General features: G+C 41.3%; 1 long non-coding RNA gene across 1 annotated transcript in view, besides 1 other annotated feature; it reads right to left on the reverse strand.

The window, feature by feature from the left end:
• Window positions 1-18,333, reverse strand: part of LOC107985962 (uncharacterized) — a 243,604-nt gene that overhangs the window by 161,042 nt on the left and 64,229 nt on the right. The window lies entirely within an intron of this gene.
• Window positions 2,928-3,460: an enhancer, noted in NCBI's record as "H3K27ac-H3K4me1 hESC enhancer chr2:176624132-176624664 (GRCh37/hg19 assembly coordinates)". NCBI's record gives its function as "activates a minimal SCP1, AML or CMV promoter by ChIP-STARR-seq in primed H9 embryonic stem cells {active_cell/tissue: H9 hESC(primed)}" and the evidence as "EXISTENCE:reporter gene assay evidence [ECO:0000049][PMID:30033119]".

Consider the following 18,333-nt stretch of genomic DNA (forward strand, 5'->3'; position numbering starts at 1 on the left):
TCCTCTTGTGTTTCTCTCTGTTACCCAGCTCAAACTGATCTGGACGTGCCTGAGCAAAAATACAATTAGGTAGAGAAATCTGTTTTAAAAAACAAAACAAAAACAAAAAACAAGTGTGGCCCAAGAGTGTCATTAGAATTAGTTAGCATATTTATCTAGGGAAACTATAAGTTGGTTTCCTAGGTAAATATCCAAGGCTGTTTCCAAAGATATTCCTGGGAATATGTAGTACATATGCTTTTGTATCTCTGAATTTGGAGACCTTTCCAAGGTTCCTGGCTGCCACTTCAGAGAGTGGGGGTTATATTTACGTTTCAACATCCTGAGTGAGTATTCTGGGTGTGGGGACTGAATCTGAATCAAGGGACTTAGTAAATTTGCTTTCTAATTCTGAACCCAATAAAAAGAGGAGCAGCAAACAGGACACTTGTGGTATCAGAAAAGGAAGAAAACATGTTTCTAGTACCTATCAGGTACCAGACACGGAGCTAAGCAGTTTACATACTGCATGTAATGAATCTCAACTTCATCTCCGTTTCCAACCCTACATTTTACAGAGAGGAAAGCAGGGCTTAAAGATGTGGAAAGTAACATGTTAGTACGTGACAGAGCCTGGACTCAGGCTCCTGTGGCACCATGGGGTCATGCAGTGTTGCTTATCTGGGCAATCCCATGAACACTCAGTTTCCAATAACAGATCAATGGCAAGCTGGAAAAACATCTCAGATGGTGTGCCACAAAGCATTTCTTAGAAGATGTTTCCTGCCTCACCTTTATCAGTGGCTGGAACAAAGCCATGGAAGGCAAATCCACCTGATTTGCATATGATTGCATGTGCTTTATATGAGATGGACACTAAATACACTAGGTAACTAAATCAGGATTGGAGAAAATACAGACAAGCTGGAGTAATGGACTGAATGGAACAGGATATTACAATGAGGTAAGTGTCAAGGTCTGCATATAGGTTCAAAAATCAATTGTACAATAATACATGAGAGAAACCAAATTTAAGAGCAACGTCTACAGACATTTTTCTGGCAACAATAGGGTCAGAAATAATTCATAGGATCATGTGCTCACAGACACATAATTCTAAGCTATATTAAAAGATGTAGGAAATCTACAATAAGCGTGGTAATATTTCTACTTTGACCTGCACTGATCAGGCGATGATCTAAAAGAAGCATTTTATGCCTTCAATAAATATTTATTGAGTGCCTTCTAAGTTACTAGGTACTGTGTTAGGCCTTCGAGATCTGGTGGAGAACAAAAAAGACACAGTCCCTATTGTCACAAAGCTTAACAGCCCAGGAAATGCAGGTAAAGTAAAATGTGCTCAGAGAATGAAGAGGAACTTAAAACTATGTCTTAGAGCAACAATTAAAGAAATGGAGGATTTTTAGCCTTGAGAAAAATCTTTCTTGAAGTGCATATGAGAGATTGATGGGGAAAATGGAATCATGTTTTATGGTAGATTTTACGCTATGTTTTTTTTTTTTTTTTTTTTTTTATGAGACAGAGTCTCGCTCTGTCGCGCAGGCTGGAGTGCAGTGGCACAACCTCGGCTCACTGCAAGCTCCGCCTCCCGGGTTCACGCCATTCTCCTTCCTCAGCCTCCCTAGTAGCTGGGACTACAGGCGCCCGCCACCACGCCCAGCTAATTTTTTGTATTTTTAGTAGAGACGGGGTGTCATCATGTTAGCCAGGATGGTCTTGATTTCCTGACTTCGTGATCCACCCGCCTGGGCCTCCCAAAGTGCTGGGATTACAGGCATGAGCCACCGCGCCTGGCAGATTTTACGCTATTCAAAACATGTCCTGCCCCTCTAGGTGAAAAGACTATGCACCCTCAGCCCACAAATGTTGGGGTTGGCCGTGCAACTTGTGAAGCTCCTCTTCATGGAAGAATTATGTATCTCGATCATCATTGGCCTCCACAGCAGCCACATGACTTGCTTTGGCCAATAAAATGTAGGCAGAAGTGATTATGTAAAGAAAATTCAGCTAACAACATTAGGAGTGGCAGTCCATCCTTGTTGTGGCTAGTAGAAATCTGTTGAGTAGATTTGGTTTCAAGCAATAATACAACATTCAGTTTATAATAAAAAAAAAAAAAAGCCTCTTTTACTAAGCATATGCTATCTTAGCCAAAACCAGAAGTGAGGTTGTTCACCAATAAGCCCAACAGAAGCACTAAAGTCTGTATTCTAATTATTTTGTTTGGTTGATTGGTTTGGTTGTTTTGGTGTTTTGGTTTTCTTTTTTTAATTTTTTATTTCCATAGGTTTTGGGGGAACAGGTGGTGTTTGATTACATGAATAAGTGCTTTAGGGGTGATTTCTGAGATTTTGGTGCACTCATCACCAAAGCAGTGTACAATGTACCCACTGTGTAGTGCTTTATCCCTCACCCTGCTCCCTCCCTTTCCTCCAAGTCCCCAAAGTCCATTGTATCACTCTTATGCCTTTGCATCCTCATAGCTTAGCTCCCACTTGTGAGTAAGAACATACAATGTTTGGTTTTCCATTTCTGAGTTACTTCATTTTTTTATACACAGAGTCTTACTCTGAAACCCAGGCTGGACTGCAGTGGTACAATCATGGTTCATTGCAGCCTCTACCTCTCAGCTCAAGAGATCTTCCCACTTTAGTGCCCCAAGTATTGAGATTACAGATATGTGACCCCAGGCCTAGCTAATTTTTTTGTTATTGTGGTTTTAGAGACAGGGTCTTGGTATGTTGCCCAGGCTTGCATTCTAATTGTTACTATTTCCCAAAATTAGATGGCCCAACTATCATTAACACATATTAATGCTGCCAAATTTTACTGTAATAGTGGGTTTGATTCAATTTGTTCCAATCAATTTTATTGATATATAAGGACACCTGCAATGTATCACATGCAGATTCAGCTGAAAGTTTGGTGATCAGGCTGGAAATAAAAAAAATGATGCTTTGCTTTATTACTAATACTGTTGATGCTACTCTTGCACAGTAATCTGCTTCTACTTAAGTGGCCAGCGTTAGGAAATGAGTTATCATTGGTGACCTCTAAGTGAAATTGTAAAGATGTCAAATAACTTGGTGGTTTGCTTGTACATGAAAAAGAAGGATAACGGCGGAGGAGCCACGATGGCCGAATAGGAACAGATCCGGTCTACAGCTCCCAGCGTGAGCAACGCAGAAGACTGTGATTTCTGCATTTCCATCTCAGGTACTGGGTTCATCTCTCTAGGGAGTGCCAGACAGTGGGCGCAGGTCAGTGGGTGCACGCACCGTGCACGAGCCGAAGCAGGGCGAGGCATTGCCTCACTTGGGAAGCGCAAGGGGTCAGGGAGTTCCCTTTCCGAGTCAAAGAAAGGGGTGACGGACGGCACCTGGAAAATCGGGTCACTCCCACCCGAATACTGCGCTTTTCCGACGGGCTTAAAATAAGGCGCACCACTAGATTATATCCCGCACCTGGCTTGGAGGGTCCTACACCCACGGAGTCTTGCTGATTGCTAGCACAGCAGTCTGAGATCAAACTGCAAGGCGGCAGCGAGGCTGGGGGAGGGGTGCCCGCCATTGCCCAGGCTTGATTAGGTAAACAAAGCAGCTGGGGAGCTCGAACTGGGTGGAGCCCACCACAGCTCAAGGAGGCCTGCCTGCCTCGGTAGGCTCCACCTCTGGGGGCAGGGCACAGACAAACAAAAAGACAGCAGTAACCTCTGCAGACTTAAATGTCCCTGTCTGACAGCTTTGAAGAGAGCAGTGGTTCTCCCAGCATGCAGCTGGAGATCTGAGAACGGGCAGACTGCCTCCTCAAGTGGGTCCCTGACCCCTGACCCCCGAGCAGCCTAACTGGGAGGCACCCCCAGCAGGGGCAGACTGACACCTCACATGGCAGGGTATTCCAACAGACCTGCAGCTGAGGGTCCTGTCTATTAGAAGGAAAACTAACAAACAGAAAGGACATCCACACCAAAAACCCATCTGTACATCACCATCATCAAAGACCAAAAGTAGATAAAACCACAAAGATGGGGAAAAAACAGAACAGAAAAACTGGAAACTCTAAAATGCAGAGCGCCTCTCCTCCTCCAAAGGAACGCAGTTCCTCACCAGCAACAGAACAAAGCTGGATGGAAAATGACTTTGACGAGCTGAGAGAAGAAGACTTCAGACGATCAAATTACTCTGAGCTATGGGAGGACAATCAAACCAAAGGCAAAGAAGTTGAAAACTTTGAAAAAAATTTAGAAGAATGTATAACTAGAATAACCAATACAGAGAAGTGCTTAAAGGAGCTGATGGAGCTGAAAACCAAGGCTCGAGAACTACGTAAAGAATGCAGAAGCCTCAGGAGCCAATGCGATCAACTGGAAGAAAGGGTATCAGCGATGGAAGATGAAATGAATGAAATGAAGTGAGAAGGGAAGTTTAGAGAAAAAAGAATAAAAAGAAATGAGCAAAGCCTCCAAGAAATATGGGACTATGTGAAAAGACCAAATCTACGTCTCATTGGTGTACCTGAAAGTGATGGGGAGAATGGAACCAAGTTGGAAAACACTCTGCAGGATATTATCCAGGAGAACTTCCCCAATCTAGCAAGGCAGGCCAACGTTCAGATTCAGGAAATACAGAGAACGCCACAAAGATACTCCTCGAGAAGAGCAACTCCAAGACACATAATTGTCAGATTCACCAAAGTTGAAATGAAGGAAAAAATGTTAAGGGCAGCCAGAGAGAAAGGTCGGATTACCCTCAAAGGGAAGCCCATCAGACTAACAGCGGATCTCTGGGCAGAAACCCTACAAGCCAGAAGAGAGTGGGGGCCAATATTCAACATTCTTAAAGAAAAGAATTTTCAACCCAGAATTTCATATCCAGCCAAACTAAGCTTCATAAGTGAAGGAGAAATAAAATCCTTTACAGACAAGCAAATGCTGAGAGATTTTGTCACCACCAGGCCTGCCCTAAAAGAGCTCCTGAAGGAAGCGCTAAACATGGAAAGGAACAACCGGTACCAGCCGCTGCAAAATCATGCCAAAATGTAAAGACCATCAAGACTAGCAAGAAACTGCATCAACTAACGAGCAAAGTAATCAGCTAACATCATAATGACAGGATCAAATTCACACATAACAATATTAACTTTAAATGTAAATGGACTAAATGCTCCAATTAAAAGACACAGACGGGCAAATTGGACAAAGAGTCAAGACCCATCAGTGTGCTGTATTCAGGAAACCCATCTCATGTGCAGAGACACACATAGGCTCAAAATAAAAGGATGGAGGAAGATCTACCAAGCAAATGGAAAACAAAAAAAGGCAGGGGTTGCAATCCTAGTCTCTGATAAAACAGACTTTAAACCAACAAAGATCAAAAGAGACAAAGAAGGCCATTACATAATGGTAAAGGGATCAATTCAACAAGAAGAGCTAACTATCCTAAATATACATGCACCCAATACAGGAGCACCCAGATTCATAAAGCAAGTCCTGAGTGACCTACAAAGAGACTTAGACTCCCACACATTAATAATGGGAGACTTTAACACCCCACTGTCAACATTAGACAGAATAACGAGACAGAAAGTCAACAAGGATACCCAGGAATTGAACTCAGCTCTGCACCAAGCGGACCTAATAGACATCTACAGAACTCTCCACCCCAAATCAACAGAATATACATTTTTTTCAGCACTGCACCACACCTATTCCAAAATTGACCACATACATGGAAGTAAAGCTCTCCTCAGCAAATGTAAAAGAACAGAGATTATAACAAACTATCTCTCAGACCACAGTGCAATCAAACTAGAACTCAGGATTAAGAATCTCACTCAAAACCATGCTCAACTGCATGGAAACTGAACAACCTGCTCCTGAATGCCTACTGGATACATAACGAAATGAAGGCAGAAATAAAGATGTTCTTTGAAACCAATGAGAACAAAGACACAACATACCAGAATCTCTGGGACGCATTCAAAGCAGTGTATAGAGGGAAATTTATAGCACTAAATGCCCACAAGAGAAAGCAGGAAAGATCCAAAATTGACACCCTAACATCACAATTAAAAGAACTAGAAAAGCAAGAGCAAACACATTCAAAAGCTAGCAGAAGGCAAGAAATAACTAAGATCAGAGCAGAACTGAAGGAAATAGAGACACAAAAAACCCTTCAAAAAATTAATGAATCCAGGAGCTGGTTTTTTGAAAGGATCAACAAAATTGATAGACTGCTAGCAAGACTAATAAAGAAAAACAGAGAGAAGAATCTAATAGACGCAATAAAAAATGATAAAGGGGATATCACCACCAATCCCACAGAAATACAAACTACCATCAGAGAATACTACAAACACCTCTACCCAAATAAACTAGAAAATCTAGAAGAAATGGATAAATTCCTCGACACATACACTCTCCCAAGACTAAACCAGGAAGAAGTTGAATCTCTGAATAGACCAATAACAGGATCTGAAATTGTGGCAATAATCAATAGCTTACCAACCAAAAAGAGTCCAGGACCAGATGGATTCACAGCTGAATTCTACCAGAGGTACAAGGAGGAACTGGTACCATTCCTTCTGAAACTATTCCAATCAATAGAAAAAGAGGGAATCCTCCCTAACTCATTTTATGAGGCCAGCATCATTCTGATACCAAAGCTGGGCAGAGACACAACCAAAAAAGAGAATTTTAGACCAATATCCTTGATGAACATTGATGCAAAAATCCTCAATAAAATACTGGCAAACCGAATCCAGCAGCACATCAAAAAGCTTATCCACCATGATCAAGTGGGCTTCATCCCTGGGATGCAAGGCTGGTTCAATATACGCAAATCAATAAATGTAATCCAGCATATAAACAGAGCCAAAGACAAAAACCACATGATTATCTCAATAGATGCAGAAAAAGCCTTTGACAAAATTCAACAACCCTTCATGCTAAATACTCTCAATAAATTAGGTATTGATGGGACGTATTTCAAAATAATAAGAGCTATCTCTGACAAACCCACAGCCAATATCATACTGGATGGGCAAAAACTGGAAGCATTCCCTTTGAAAACTGGCACAAGACAGGGATGCCCTCTCTCACCACTCCTATTCAACATAGTGTTGGAAGTTCTGGCCAGGGCAATTAGGCAGGAGAAGGAAATAAAGGGTATTCAATTAGGGAAAGAGGAAGTCAAATTGTCCCTGTTTGCAGACGACATGATTGTATATCTAGAAAACCCCGTTGTCTCAGCCCCAAAACTCCTTAAGCTGATAAGCAACTTCAGCAAAGTCTCAGGATACAAAATCAATGTACAAAAATCACAAGCATTCTTATACACAAACAACAGACAAACAGAGAGCCAAATCATGAGTGAACTCCCATTCACAGTTGCTTCAAAGAGAATAAAATACCTAGGAATCCAACTTACAAGGGATGTGAAGGACCTCTTCAAGGAGAACTACAAACCACTGCTCAAGGAAATAAAAGAGGATACACACAAATGGAAGAACATTCCATGCTCATGGGTAGGAAGAATCAATATCGTGAAAATGGCCATACTGCCCAAGGTAATTTACAGATTCAATGCCATCCCTATCAAGCTACCAATGCCTTTCTTCACAGAATTGGAAAAAACTACTTTAAAGTTCATATGGAACCAAAAAAGAGCCCGCATCGCCAAGTCAATCCTAAGCCAAAAGAACAAAGCTGGAGGCATCACACTACCTGACTTCAAACTATACTACAAGGCTACAGTAACCAAAACAGCATGGTACTGGTACCAAAACAGAGATATAGATCAATGGAACAGAACAGAGCCCTCAGAAATAACGCCGCATATCTACAACTATCTGATCTTTGACAAACCTGAGAAAAACAAGCAATGGGGAAAGGATTCCCTATTTAATAAATGGTGCTGGGAAAACTGGCTAGCCATATGTAGAAAGCTGAAAGTGGATCCCTTCCTTACACCTTATACAAAAATCAATTCAAGATGGATTAAAGACTTAAACTTTAGACCTAAAACCATAAAAACCCTAGAAGAAAACCTAGGCATTACCATTCAGGACATAGGCATGGGCAAGGACTTCATGTCTAAAACACCAAAAGCAATGGCAATAAAAGCCAAAATTGACAAATGGGATCTAATTAAACTAAAGAGCTTCTGCACAGCAAAAGAAACTACCATCAGAGTGAACAGGCAACCTACAAAATGGGAGAAAATTTTTGCAATCTACTCATCTGACAAAGGGCTAATATCCAGAATCTACAATGAACTCAAACAAATTTACAAGAAAAAAACAAACAACCCCATCAAAAAGTGGGCAAAGGACATGAACAGACACTTCTCAAAAGAAGACATTTATGCAGCCAAAAAACACATGAAAAAATGCTCATCATCACTGGCCATCAGAGAAATGCAAATCAAAACCACAATGAGATACCATCTCACACCAGTTAGAATGACAATCATTAAAAAGTCAGGAAACAACAGGTGCTGGAGAGGATGTGGAGAAATAGGAACACTTTTACACTGTTGGTGGGACTGTAAACTAGTTCAACCATTGTGGAAGTCAGTGTGGCGATTCCTCAGGGATCTAGAACTGGAAACACCATTTGACCCAGCCATCCCATTACTGGGTATATACCCAAAGGACTATAAATCATGCTGCTATAAAGACACATGCACGTGTATGTTTATTGCGGCATTATTCACAATAGCAAAGACTTGGAACCAACCCAAATGTCCAACAGTGATAGACTGGATTAAGAAAATGTGGCACATATACACCATGGAATACTATGCAGCCATAAAAAATGATGAGTTCATGTCCTTTGTAGGGACATGGATGAAATTGGAAAACATCATTCTCAGTAAACTATCGCAAGAACAAAAAACCAAACACCACATATTCTCACTCATAGGTGGGAATTGAACAATGAGAACACATGGACACAGGAAGGGGAACATCACACTCTGGGGACTGTTGTGGGGTTGGCGGAGGGGGGAGGGAGAGCATTGGGAGATATACCTAATGCTAGATGACGAGTTAGTGGGTGCAGTGCAGCCGCATGGCACATGTATATACATATGTAACTAACCTGCACAATGTGCACATGTACCCTAAAACTTAAATATAAAAAAAAAAAAAGAACAAAACTTAAAAAAAAAAAAGAAAAGAAAAAGAAGGATAACATGCTTCCTTTTCTTCATTCTGTTCAATACTTGAGCTTTTCCTAGGCACTCAAGTCCCTTTGGAAACTAATTTAAATATTCATTACAATTAAGAACTGCTGCTTCTAAAAGAGACTGCAGAGTGAACTTCAATTAGACTTTATTTGCTGGGATTTGCCCTCCTAGCCCCTCCCTTTCACTTATTCCATATTTGTGAGGTTGCATTTAAATTACAATTCACCTTTATGACCACCTGAGCAATTCATTTATGTTCTTAGCATAAGATATTGCTCAAGTAGTCCCTCCTCAACTAGAAAGATATCTCAATTCCAAATCTGTATAATTGCCACTGTGACAAGGGAAAAGTTGTCCTTTTCATACATTATCACTAGCTAAGACTTCAAGTGTAAGCAGCAAACATCACATGCTTATTTTGAAAGTACTCATGAGGGTTACCATGATACTAGAAAACATAGTCTCATATATTATAATCCAGTTGGATAAATAATGAAAAGAACATAAAACATATAAAAAATTAAAAAGTTGAAGAACAAAACCTTTAGATAACAGATCAAGATAAAATAGTTAATCTCCCACTATTTCAAAAAGAATTGCACAAAAATTAATTGTATTTATGTTTTGAAGAGGAAGAGTTTGTATTAAGGCTAGGAAATCTTATACAATGCCTAGCACACAGTAGAACTTACTAAACATTGGCTGAAGAAATGAATGGAATAATAGGATGGCTCAGAAAGAAAGCCCTCTTAGAAATGAGACCAAAATGATGGGATTTAGCTCCAATTGTGAGGACTTTTATATCCTAGATATGGAGCTTGGGCTTTATCTTTTGGCAAAGGGAATGTTGATTGTCCCAAATTCAAGGCTTGCACTCCCTGTTAGGGTATCATGGATAGCTTATCCTTCACTTTCCCACTCAAAAGTGTTATCGGTCTTCACCTATCTGCCTTCTAAAACTACTGCAGACTGAAGCTATCTCACTTTCCTCAGGGATATCTGAGTATTTCTCATCTGTATAATTCATTGGGTAATTAATCACCTGTAATTTTTAATATATCCTTATGATAGTTCATTTTAATGTGTCAGCTTGACTGGGCTATGGGGTACTCAGATATTTGGTCATTCTGGGTGTTTCTGCAAGAGTGTTTTTAGATGAGATGAACATGTGTATAGGTAGACTAAGTAAAGCAATAGCCCTCCCCAATGTAGGTAGGGCTTATCCAATCAGTTGAAGGCCTTATTAAAACAAAATGCTAATCCTCCCCAAAGAAAGAAGGCCTAATGATCTTCGAACTGAACATCATTTTTTGTCCTGCTGTCAGACTTGAACAATAAACACTGGCTCTTCCTGTGTTTCGAGCCTGCCAACCTTTGGAATGGAACTACACTATCAGCTCTCCTGGTTCTCAGGCCCTTAGACTCAGACTGAAACTAAACAATTCACTCTCCTGGGTCCAACTTGCTGACTCATTCTATAGATCTTGGGACTTACTAGTCTTCATAATTGCATGAACCAGTTCGCTGGAGAATTCTGACTAATACAGCCCTTTTTTCTTGTCTTAAACTGCTATTACAGTATTTCAATCTAGCTTAGCCTTTCTACATGTTTACAGCCGGCCTTTCAAACTAGATTGTAAGCTTCCTGAGGTCTGAGATTAGGAGGTATTCAACATCTGTGTCTCTTTTCAGGAGTTACTGGGGACTTGACTGTGGAGAGCAATGTGGTTACCATATGTAGTTTGGCAGATTACACCCTGCACAAGGTCCCCACTGAGAGGGCAAGTGGGATAAAAATCTAGCACCAGGTCCCCTTTACCAAGAGTGGCCTTGGCACAGGGCTATGCTCATCTGGAGGAAGAGAAGTCTGTTTCTAATTCTCAAAGCCATTGAATAGGCTATTGGATGCCCTAGACAGCAGCATTACAGGTTGGTCCCAGCCATGGGCTGTGTTAGCATCCCAGAATAATACCGACTGCCTGCTCTGTTCAACATTTGGCAGGACTCACCTAGCTCCACCTAGCTCCACCTTAAAATGGCCAGAACTAAGTATCAGAAACTCCTATAAATTCTCCACAAAAGGCTCTAAAGGCAAATGTACCTTCAGTTGACTTGGAATTAGAAAAATACAAGTTATATCAATGATGGTGTTTCCATAATTTCAATATTTAAAATTATACTAGTCAGGCTTATTAACTGCAAGTACCAGAGTCCAACTTCAAGAGATTAAGCAGAAAGATGTGTATTGGGCAGCTCACAAGAAGACTGGAAAACTACATATGGAAAACAGGCAGGAAATCTGCGGGTTCAGTAACAGCCAGGTTCAGAACCAAAATGACAGATAGAGCCAGCCCAGTGAAGACACCTATCCCACAACCATTGAATACTTTACTTCCTCAGCAATTACCACCAGCTGCCCTATAAGGATTTCTCCACTACTCCTGCTTCCTTGCACCACTACCTCCGAATGCAAAATCTCTGGCAAGAGTATCTGATTGGCTAAACCCTAGGGAGGCTGAGAAAAAGAGTAGCCAGTGTTTTCAGCATCTCAGTGGGAGGTAGGCTTGGCTTCCCACCTTGATTCCTAAGGTGGAAGATTTCTCAAATACAGGAATGGGATTTAGATTTGGAAAATCAAAGAATAAAAATGTTCATTCCATGCTTATAAATACATACATCTTGAACATCTGTTGTGTATGGGAAACAAAGTAGTGTGTATTGAATAGAAAAGTTTGTTCATTTATTTCAACTTCATTTAAACTCTTCATTGGGAGATCCCACATTAAATATAAATGCTCTCAGCTTCCCAATTTCAGGTGAGAACCCAATACATGCAGCATTTCATCGAGATGAGGGTCTCACAGAACTCAGCTGAAAAGTAACGAATCAGTGCAAGTTTATACATACACAGAATCCTAATTCTTAAATGGGAAAACAAGTTTCAGCCAGTTCCTTAATTCTGACAGATCTTATGCTGCTAGGATCCCCATCAATAACAAATGCAAGGAAGTCATGAACACATATTTTGGAAACTGCTTCAGAGACACTCAAAAGTTTTTGGCTGGGCGTGGTGGCTCACACCTGTAATCCCAGCACTTTGGGAGGCCGAGGCAGGCAGATCACCTGAGGTCAGGAGTTTGAGACCAGCCTGGCCAACATGGCAAAATCCCATCTCTACTAAAAATACAAAAATTAGCTGGGCACAGTGGCAGGTGCATGTAATCCCAGCTACTCAGGAGGCTGAGGCAGGAGAATTGCTTGAACCTGGGAGGCAGAGGTTGCAGTGAGCTGAGATTGTGCCACTGCACTCCAGCCTGGGTGACAGAGCCAGACTCTGTCTCAAAAAAAAAAAAAAACAACAAAACAGCTTTTACCTATCAATTTACTTCTGAGATCTTGCTTATGATGTAATTAACAAATATCTTTTAACATAAGGAAAGAGCACAGATTCTCTCATTGTTTTCACTTTAAAATACATGCCAAGGCTCATAATAATTTTTAGGTCTCAAAAACATATAAGACATCAAGTATATTTTCTTTCTTGAAGTATATTCTCACAAATCTAGAAGACATTGTTATGGCTCCTACTCACTTTATAGATTACTAACTGCCAGACAGAAATCTTCTATAAAGAACTGCTGACTGAATATGCCAATAAGTAATCATGTCTCAACAATGATGTGAGGATAAACTACGATGAGTGAAAATGTTTGGAATTCCTAAAGAAGAAAATGTGCTGAGTCATGGAAAGTACTGATGTATAGTTTCTCAACTAAATGATGGACAGCAAAGAATACTGTGACTCCTATAAATAACTCTTTGTTTTTATTTTAAAGAAATTACACTAATATATATCTTTTTGTTTTCCACAATTGGGAAGTGATATCTGTCATGTTAAGCCCTGTGCTTCTGTTGAGGCAATGAGTGAGGGCCTGGTTCTTGGGCTCTGTCTCTTCCATACTACTGAGGTGAACTGTTAAGAAGTGGCTTTAAAATCTTTATTAATAAAACCAATCCCAGACAAAAGTGTTCCTCAGAGACCTTTCCCCCACTCCTTCCTCTCTGACTTCTCTGCTCCTGGTACCCCTGTCTCCCAGCAAGCTGTGACCTGGGTCCTATTCCCACAAGGCCTCCTCCTAACCTTTAGCTACTAACTCTTGCTATTTTTACCCTTTCTGTATGTTTTGGCTTAATTCTGAAAAGCCTCCAATAAACAAAAGAGATCTTTTGGAGCAAAAGGCACCCAACATTTCACCATCGATGTCCCATTTTCCTTAGGGCACTGCTCATAAGACATTACAAACTTGCCTTTCTGGTTAAATCAGTATCTGGCATGAAAGACAATTGAAAGTCAATTCATCTAGAGCAATGTCTCAAGGTACTGCCCTCCCATGGGAAAAGGGATCCCAGAGATTATGAACTCAGAGGAAAGCTGCCACATTTTGATAGACTGGAAAGTTCCAGGCAATCCTTAGATAATGGCCCTGAAGGAAGGCCCAAAGAAAAGGCTTATGGGCCTGTTTGTTTACCCCATAATTGGTCTACCCTACTCAACGTGTGGCCATTTACCCATATGTTACAGGTCAAAGACAGGTAAGAACAGAAATAGAGAGCAAGCATTAAAAAATTGTTATAGCAACTTGACAATGTCTTCTGAGTCTAAGAATACAAAATTGGTGTTTGTATTTTGTCTTTTATTCATTTTCTAATAATTCGTTTTTATTGTATTTTATTAAAGTATGGATCTACAAAGTATTGGGGGGATTTCTTTGTGGTTCTTCACCACAGATAGCTTGATTAGCACTGGTTTAAAAGAACGAGGTGAAAATGAATTACTTGCAGTGATACTTGATAGAGCTATGGTACATAATTCCTTATGATTTTTAGCTTAGAGGTTTACTTTAAAAATAAATTGTAAATATCTATTTAGGCCGGGCGTGGTGGCTCACACCTGTAATCCCAGCACTTTGGGAGGCCGAGGCGGGTAGATCACGAGGTCGGGAGATCAAGACCATCCTGGCTAACACGGTGAAACCCTGTCTCTACTAAAAATACAAAAAATTAGCCGGGGGTGGTGGTGGGCACCTGTAGTCCCAGCTACTTGGGAGGCTGGGGCAGGAGAATGGCATGAGCCCGGGAGGCGGGGCTTGCAGTGAGCCGAGATCATGCCACTGTACTCCAGCCTGGGTGACAGAGTGAGACTCCGTCTCAAAAAAAAAAAAAAAAAAACTATTTAAACACAAGTATATGTGTTTGTGTGCAATGTATTGCCAGCATTTGTGTACTCGTTATCTAGCAATACTAAAAACATAGAACAAACTACAGTCAACAAATATACAGAGAAGTGAGTTCTTTTCCAAGTCTAAGGAAGATCAAATATGATAAAAGGAATGAATGTCTCTGCCACTGAAACAACATAAATATTTGCTCTTTCAAGTTAGAACTTGAGAATATGATTGTTATTTGGCACTGAATGTTTCTTCATCAGCACCCCCAAGGAAGCCGGGTTGATCCCCGTGGCCTCTGGCTGGCTCAGGCATACCATCTTGGCTCACACTGAAGCACAAAAGGACATCTCAGATCACTGCCCCAGCCCCACTCCCTGCCCATCACCTGTTCCCAAGCAGTTTTGTTGGCAGGGGAAGGGTGGGGTGGTCAATGTAGAGGACAAATAAAGTTACTGTCAGCCCTGCAGCTGAATAAGAAGTAGGAAGAGCCAAGCAGCATTTCCTAAAGCATGTCTCGAACTATACTTCGGCAAAAATATCCACCCTGGAAATGTGTTCAGAACTATAAGAATGAACTTATTTTTTTCCTTGGACTGAGCCAGATTTAGTAATGCTAATAGATATTGTATCAGATACATTAGATTTTTGTAGTAATCCAAGGTAATTCCCTAGGTGGTGTGATATGAGGAAGGGAACACAGACGAACTACTGCAAAATGTTTCCCCATCAGGCTATCCTAATACACACAATTCTATTATTAAAATATTCCCTTTTATCACAGTCTGTTGGGTTGCCGTAACAAAATACCATAGGCTGGATGGCTTAATTAAACAAAAGAAATTTGTTTCTCATAGCTCTGGAGGCTGAGAAGTCCAAGATGCAGGTGCTGGCAAGGTAGATTTCATTCCAAGGCCTCTTCTCTTGACTTGTAGGTGGCCATCATCTTGCTGTGTGCTCATATGACCTCCTCTTTGTGTGTGCATGGAAAGAGAAAGTGAGCTCGCTAGTGTCTCTTTTATAAGGACACTAATTGCATCATGAGGGTCCCCTTAGGAGCTCATCTAATCCTAATTACCTTCCAAAAGTTTCTCCAAATACCATTATATTGGGGGTTAGGGCTCGACATATTAGTTGGGAGTGGAGAACACAAACATTCAATCCATAATATTTTTGAGCTAAGAAATTATATCCATAAGTATCTTTTTAAATAAAACATTCTAATTCTTCAATACCTATTTTTATGGAGTTGAATTTATTCCTTATATTCGTCAGATTTATCACAGCATGAGGGGGCAGGGAGTGGAGAAACGATATGTAACCAGAAGAAAAATATAAAATATCCAGGCTTGGAAGCAATAAAGGAGAAGGCAAAAAGAAAAAGAAAAATGAACTATTTAAGAATTGCCCTAAGACTGGCTGTTATGAGATGTTATTAATTCATTCATTTTCTCTGTAGTAATTAATTGAACTCATAGGTGTAGGTACAGTGCTGAGTTGGAGATAACCTGGAATAAAAGCTGACCAAAATGGACTTTACAGACAATAGACAGACCTTTGGCAGGTAAGATTCATGTGATGTTAGGGTGTTATGCTGGAAGCGAGTCCAGGGTGGAGCAGGGGCAAAGGAGGAGGCCAAATCTACCCAGGAACTCAGAAAACACTCACTGGGGAGATCAAAGGTAAGTGAATCTTAAAGGAGGCAGGTACCCAGAAGAACAGTTCAGATGGGAGAAAGGGAGGAGGTGGGAGGGACCAAGGGGGCTGGGGCACTGAGGACCAGGCTCAGAGGCAGAACACAGAAATGCAACAAGTCACACACTAGTGGCAGGCACAGGCCAGATCTGGTGGAATTCGTATACCCCACAAAGGAGTTTTTTGTTTTTTTTTTTTTTTTTTTTTTTTTTTGAGACGGAGTCTCGCTCTGTCGCCCAGGCCGGACTGCGGACTGCAGTGGCGCAATCTCGGCTCACTGCAAGCTCCGCTTCCCGGGTTCACGCCATTCTCCTGCCTCAGCCTCCCCAGTAGCTGGGACTACAGGCGCCCGCCACCGCGCCCGGCTAATTTTTTGTATTTTTTTTAGTAGAGACGGGGTTTCACCTTGTTAGCCAGGATGGTCTCGATCTCCTGACCTCATGATCCACCCGCCTCGGCCTCCCAAAGTGCTGGGATTACAGGAGTGAGCCACCGCGCCCGGCCAGGAGTTTTTGCTTTATCCACAATCACTGAAGGATTTTAAAGAGCCACGGAGTAACTGAATCAGATTTTCTCTTTAGAGAGATTAGTCTTGTAGGCAAGGTGAAGAGTAGATTGGAGGAGTCAGAGACTAAGAAATCCGTTAGGAGACTGTTGCAAAAGCCTTGGCAAGAAATGATGGAGAGGGGAATGAAATAAGGCCACAGTGTGGGGAAGGAGAAGAAAAAAGGATAGTTCTTGAGGAGCAGAATTGACAGGACCAAGGATAAGTCCAATTGTGTACTGAAGCAGAGGGCATTCTTAGATGCCCGGTGACTCTAGGTGACATGATGCACCATTTGCTGAGGTAAGAAATTTGGTTGAAGAGAGCAGGTTTGAGCAAGGCATGGTGGCTAACACCTGGAACCCCAGAATTTCGGGGGGCTGAGATAGGAGGATTGCTTGAGTCCAGGAGTTCAAGACCAGCCTGGGCAACATAGCAAGACCTCATCTCTACAATATAAACATAAAAAATAAATTAGCCAGGCATGGTGGCACACATCTGTAGTCATGACTACATGGCTACTCGGGAGGCTGAGGTGGAAGAATGGCTTGATCCCAGGAGTTGGAGGCTTCAGTGAGCTATGATCATGCTGCCACTGCACTCCAGCCTAGGCAACAGAGGTAGAACCTATCTCTGAAAAGAAAAGAGTGGATTTGATGGGAACACAGTGAGTTCTGTTAGGCATGCTTTGTTGGAGGTGCCTACAGGACAGTCAGGAAGCGGCTGGATCTATGAGCCAAGAGCTCAGGAGAAAGGCTGGGGCAGGAGCTCTATATTGAGAGTTACCTGCTTCAAGGCAAGCAAGGCAGAGCGTGAGCTGCCTGAGCTAGGATCCTGGACAATCCAAAGAAACCCTGCGTATATAGCTGTCTTCATAAGTAAATGGCGAGTTCCTGAAGGGTCAAATCATTCATTTTTCATCTTACAGCATTTTGTATAAAGAAAATGCTCCACAGCTGTAGATATAATATAAGATACTAGCAGCACCAGGAAAATAGATTCAGTCTCTGACATAACTGGGCTCCACCATGTCCAAGCTGAAGTAGCAGCAACTGCTGCCCAGAATGGATTTAGAAATGAAAACATGAATGAAGCCTCCTGCTGGAGCTTTGTTCCTTGATTTTTTTCACTTAATAAACAACACACCTTCTGAGTAAAATAATCTATTTTAATGACTCCAAAAATAGTATTTGCAAATAGAGTTGAAGCCTTCTAGTGAGGACCTATGTTGAAGTGGAAGAAGTATTTGGAGTATGATTTCCCAAGTAGGTGTGGTCAGAAACGGGGGCGGCTGGAAAGGTGGAGAATCACCTGTGATAGAAACAGAGTACAACAAAACATGCTCTCTGCTTTCTGCTGTATTCGTTAAATAGCCTTTATTGTTTTTGCTAAGAAAGGTCAATTAATCATCCAAAGTGCTATCTGACAGAAATTAACAATCAGCTGTGACAAATATCCAGTAAGAGCTCACAACAACAAAGGGTTTTGTTTTTCTCTTTCCATATACCATTGAAAAAGGAGGCATTGGCATGTCATATCTCTTTTTACAGCTTCATTAGTGATTTTTGGCACGTACGAAGAGGTGAGAAAAATAGAAGTGTCGCTGCTCATCTAAGCAGACCACAGGTAATTAGTTACAGCCCCATTCCCTCGGCGATATCATCCCTTAACAAAGCACTCA

Source organism: Homo sapiens, chromosome 2 (assembly GCF_000001405.40).
Source record: "Homo sapiens chromosome 2, GRCh38.p14 Primary Assembly".
Taxonomy (NCBI): domain Eukaryota; kingdom Metazoa; phylum Chordata; class Mammalia; order Primates; family Hominidae; genus Homo; species Homo sapiens.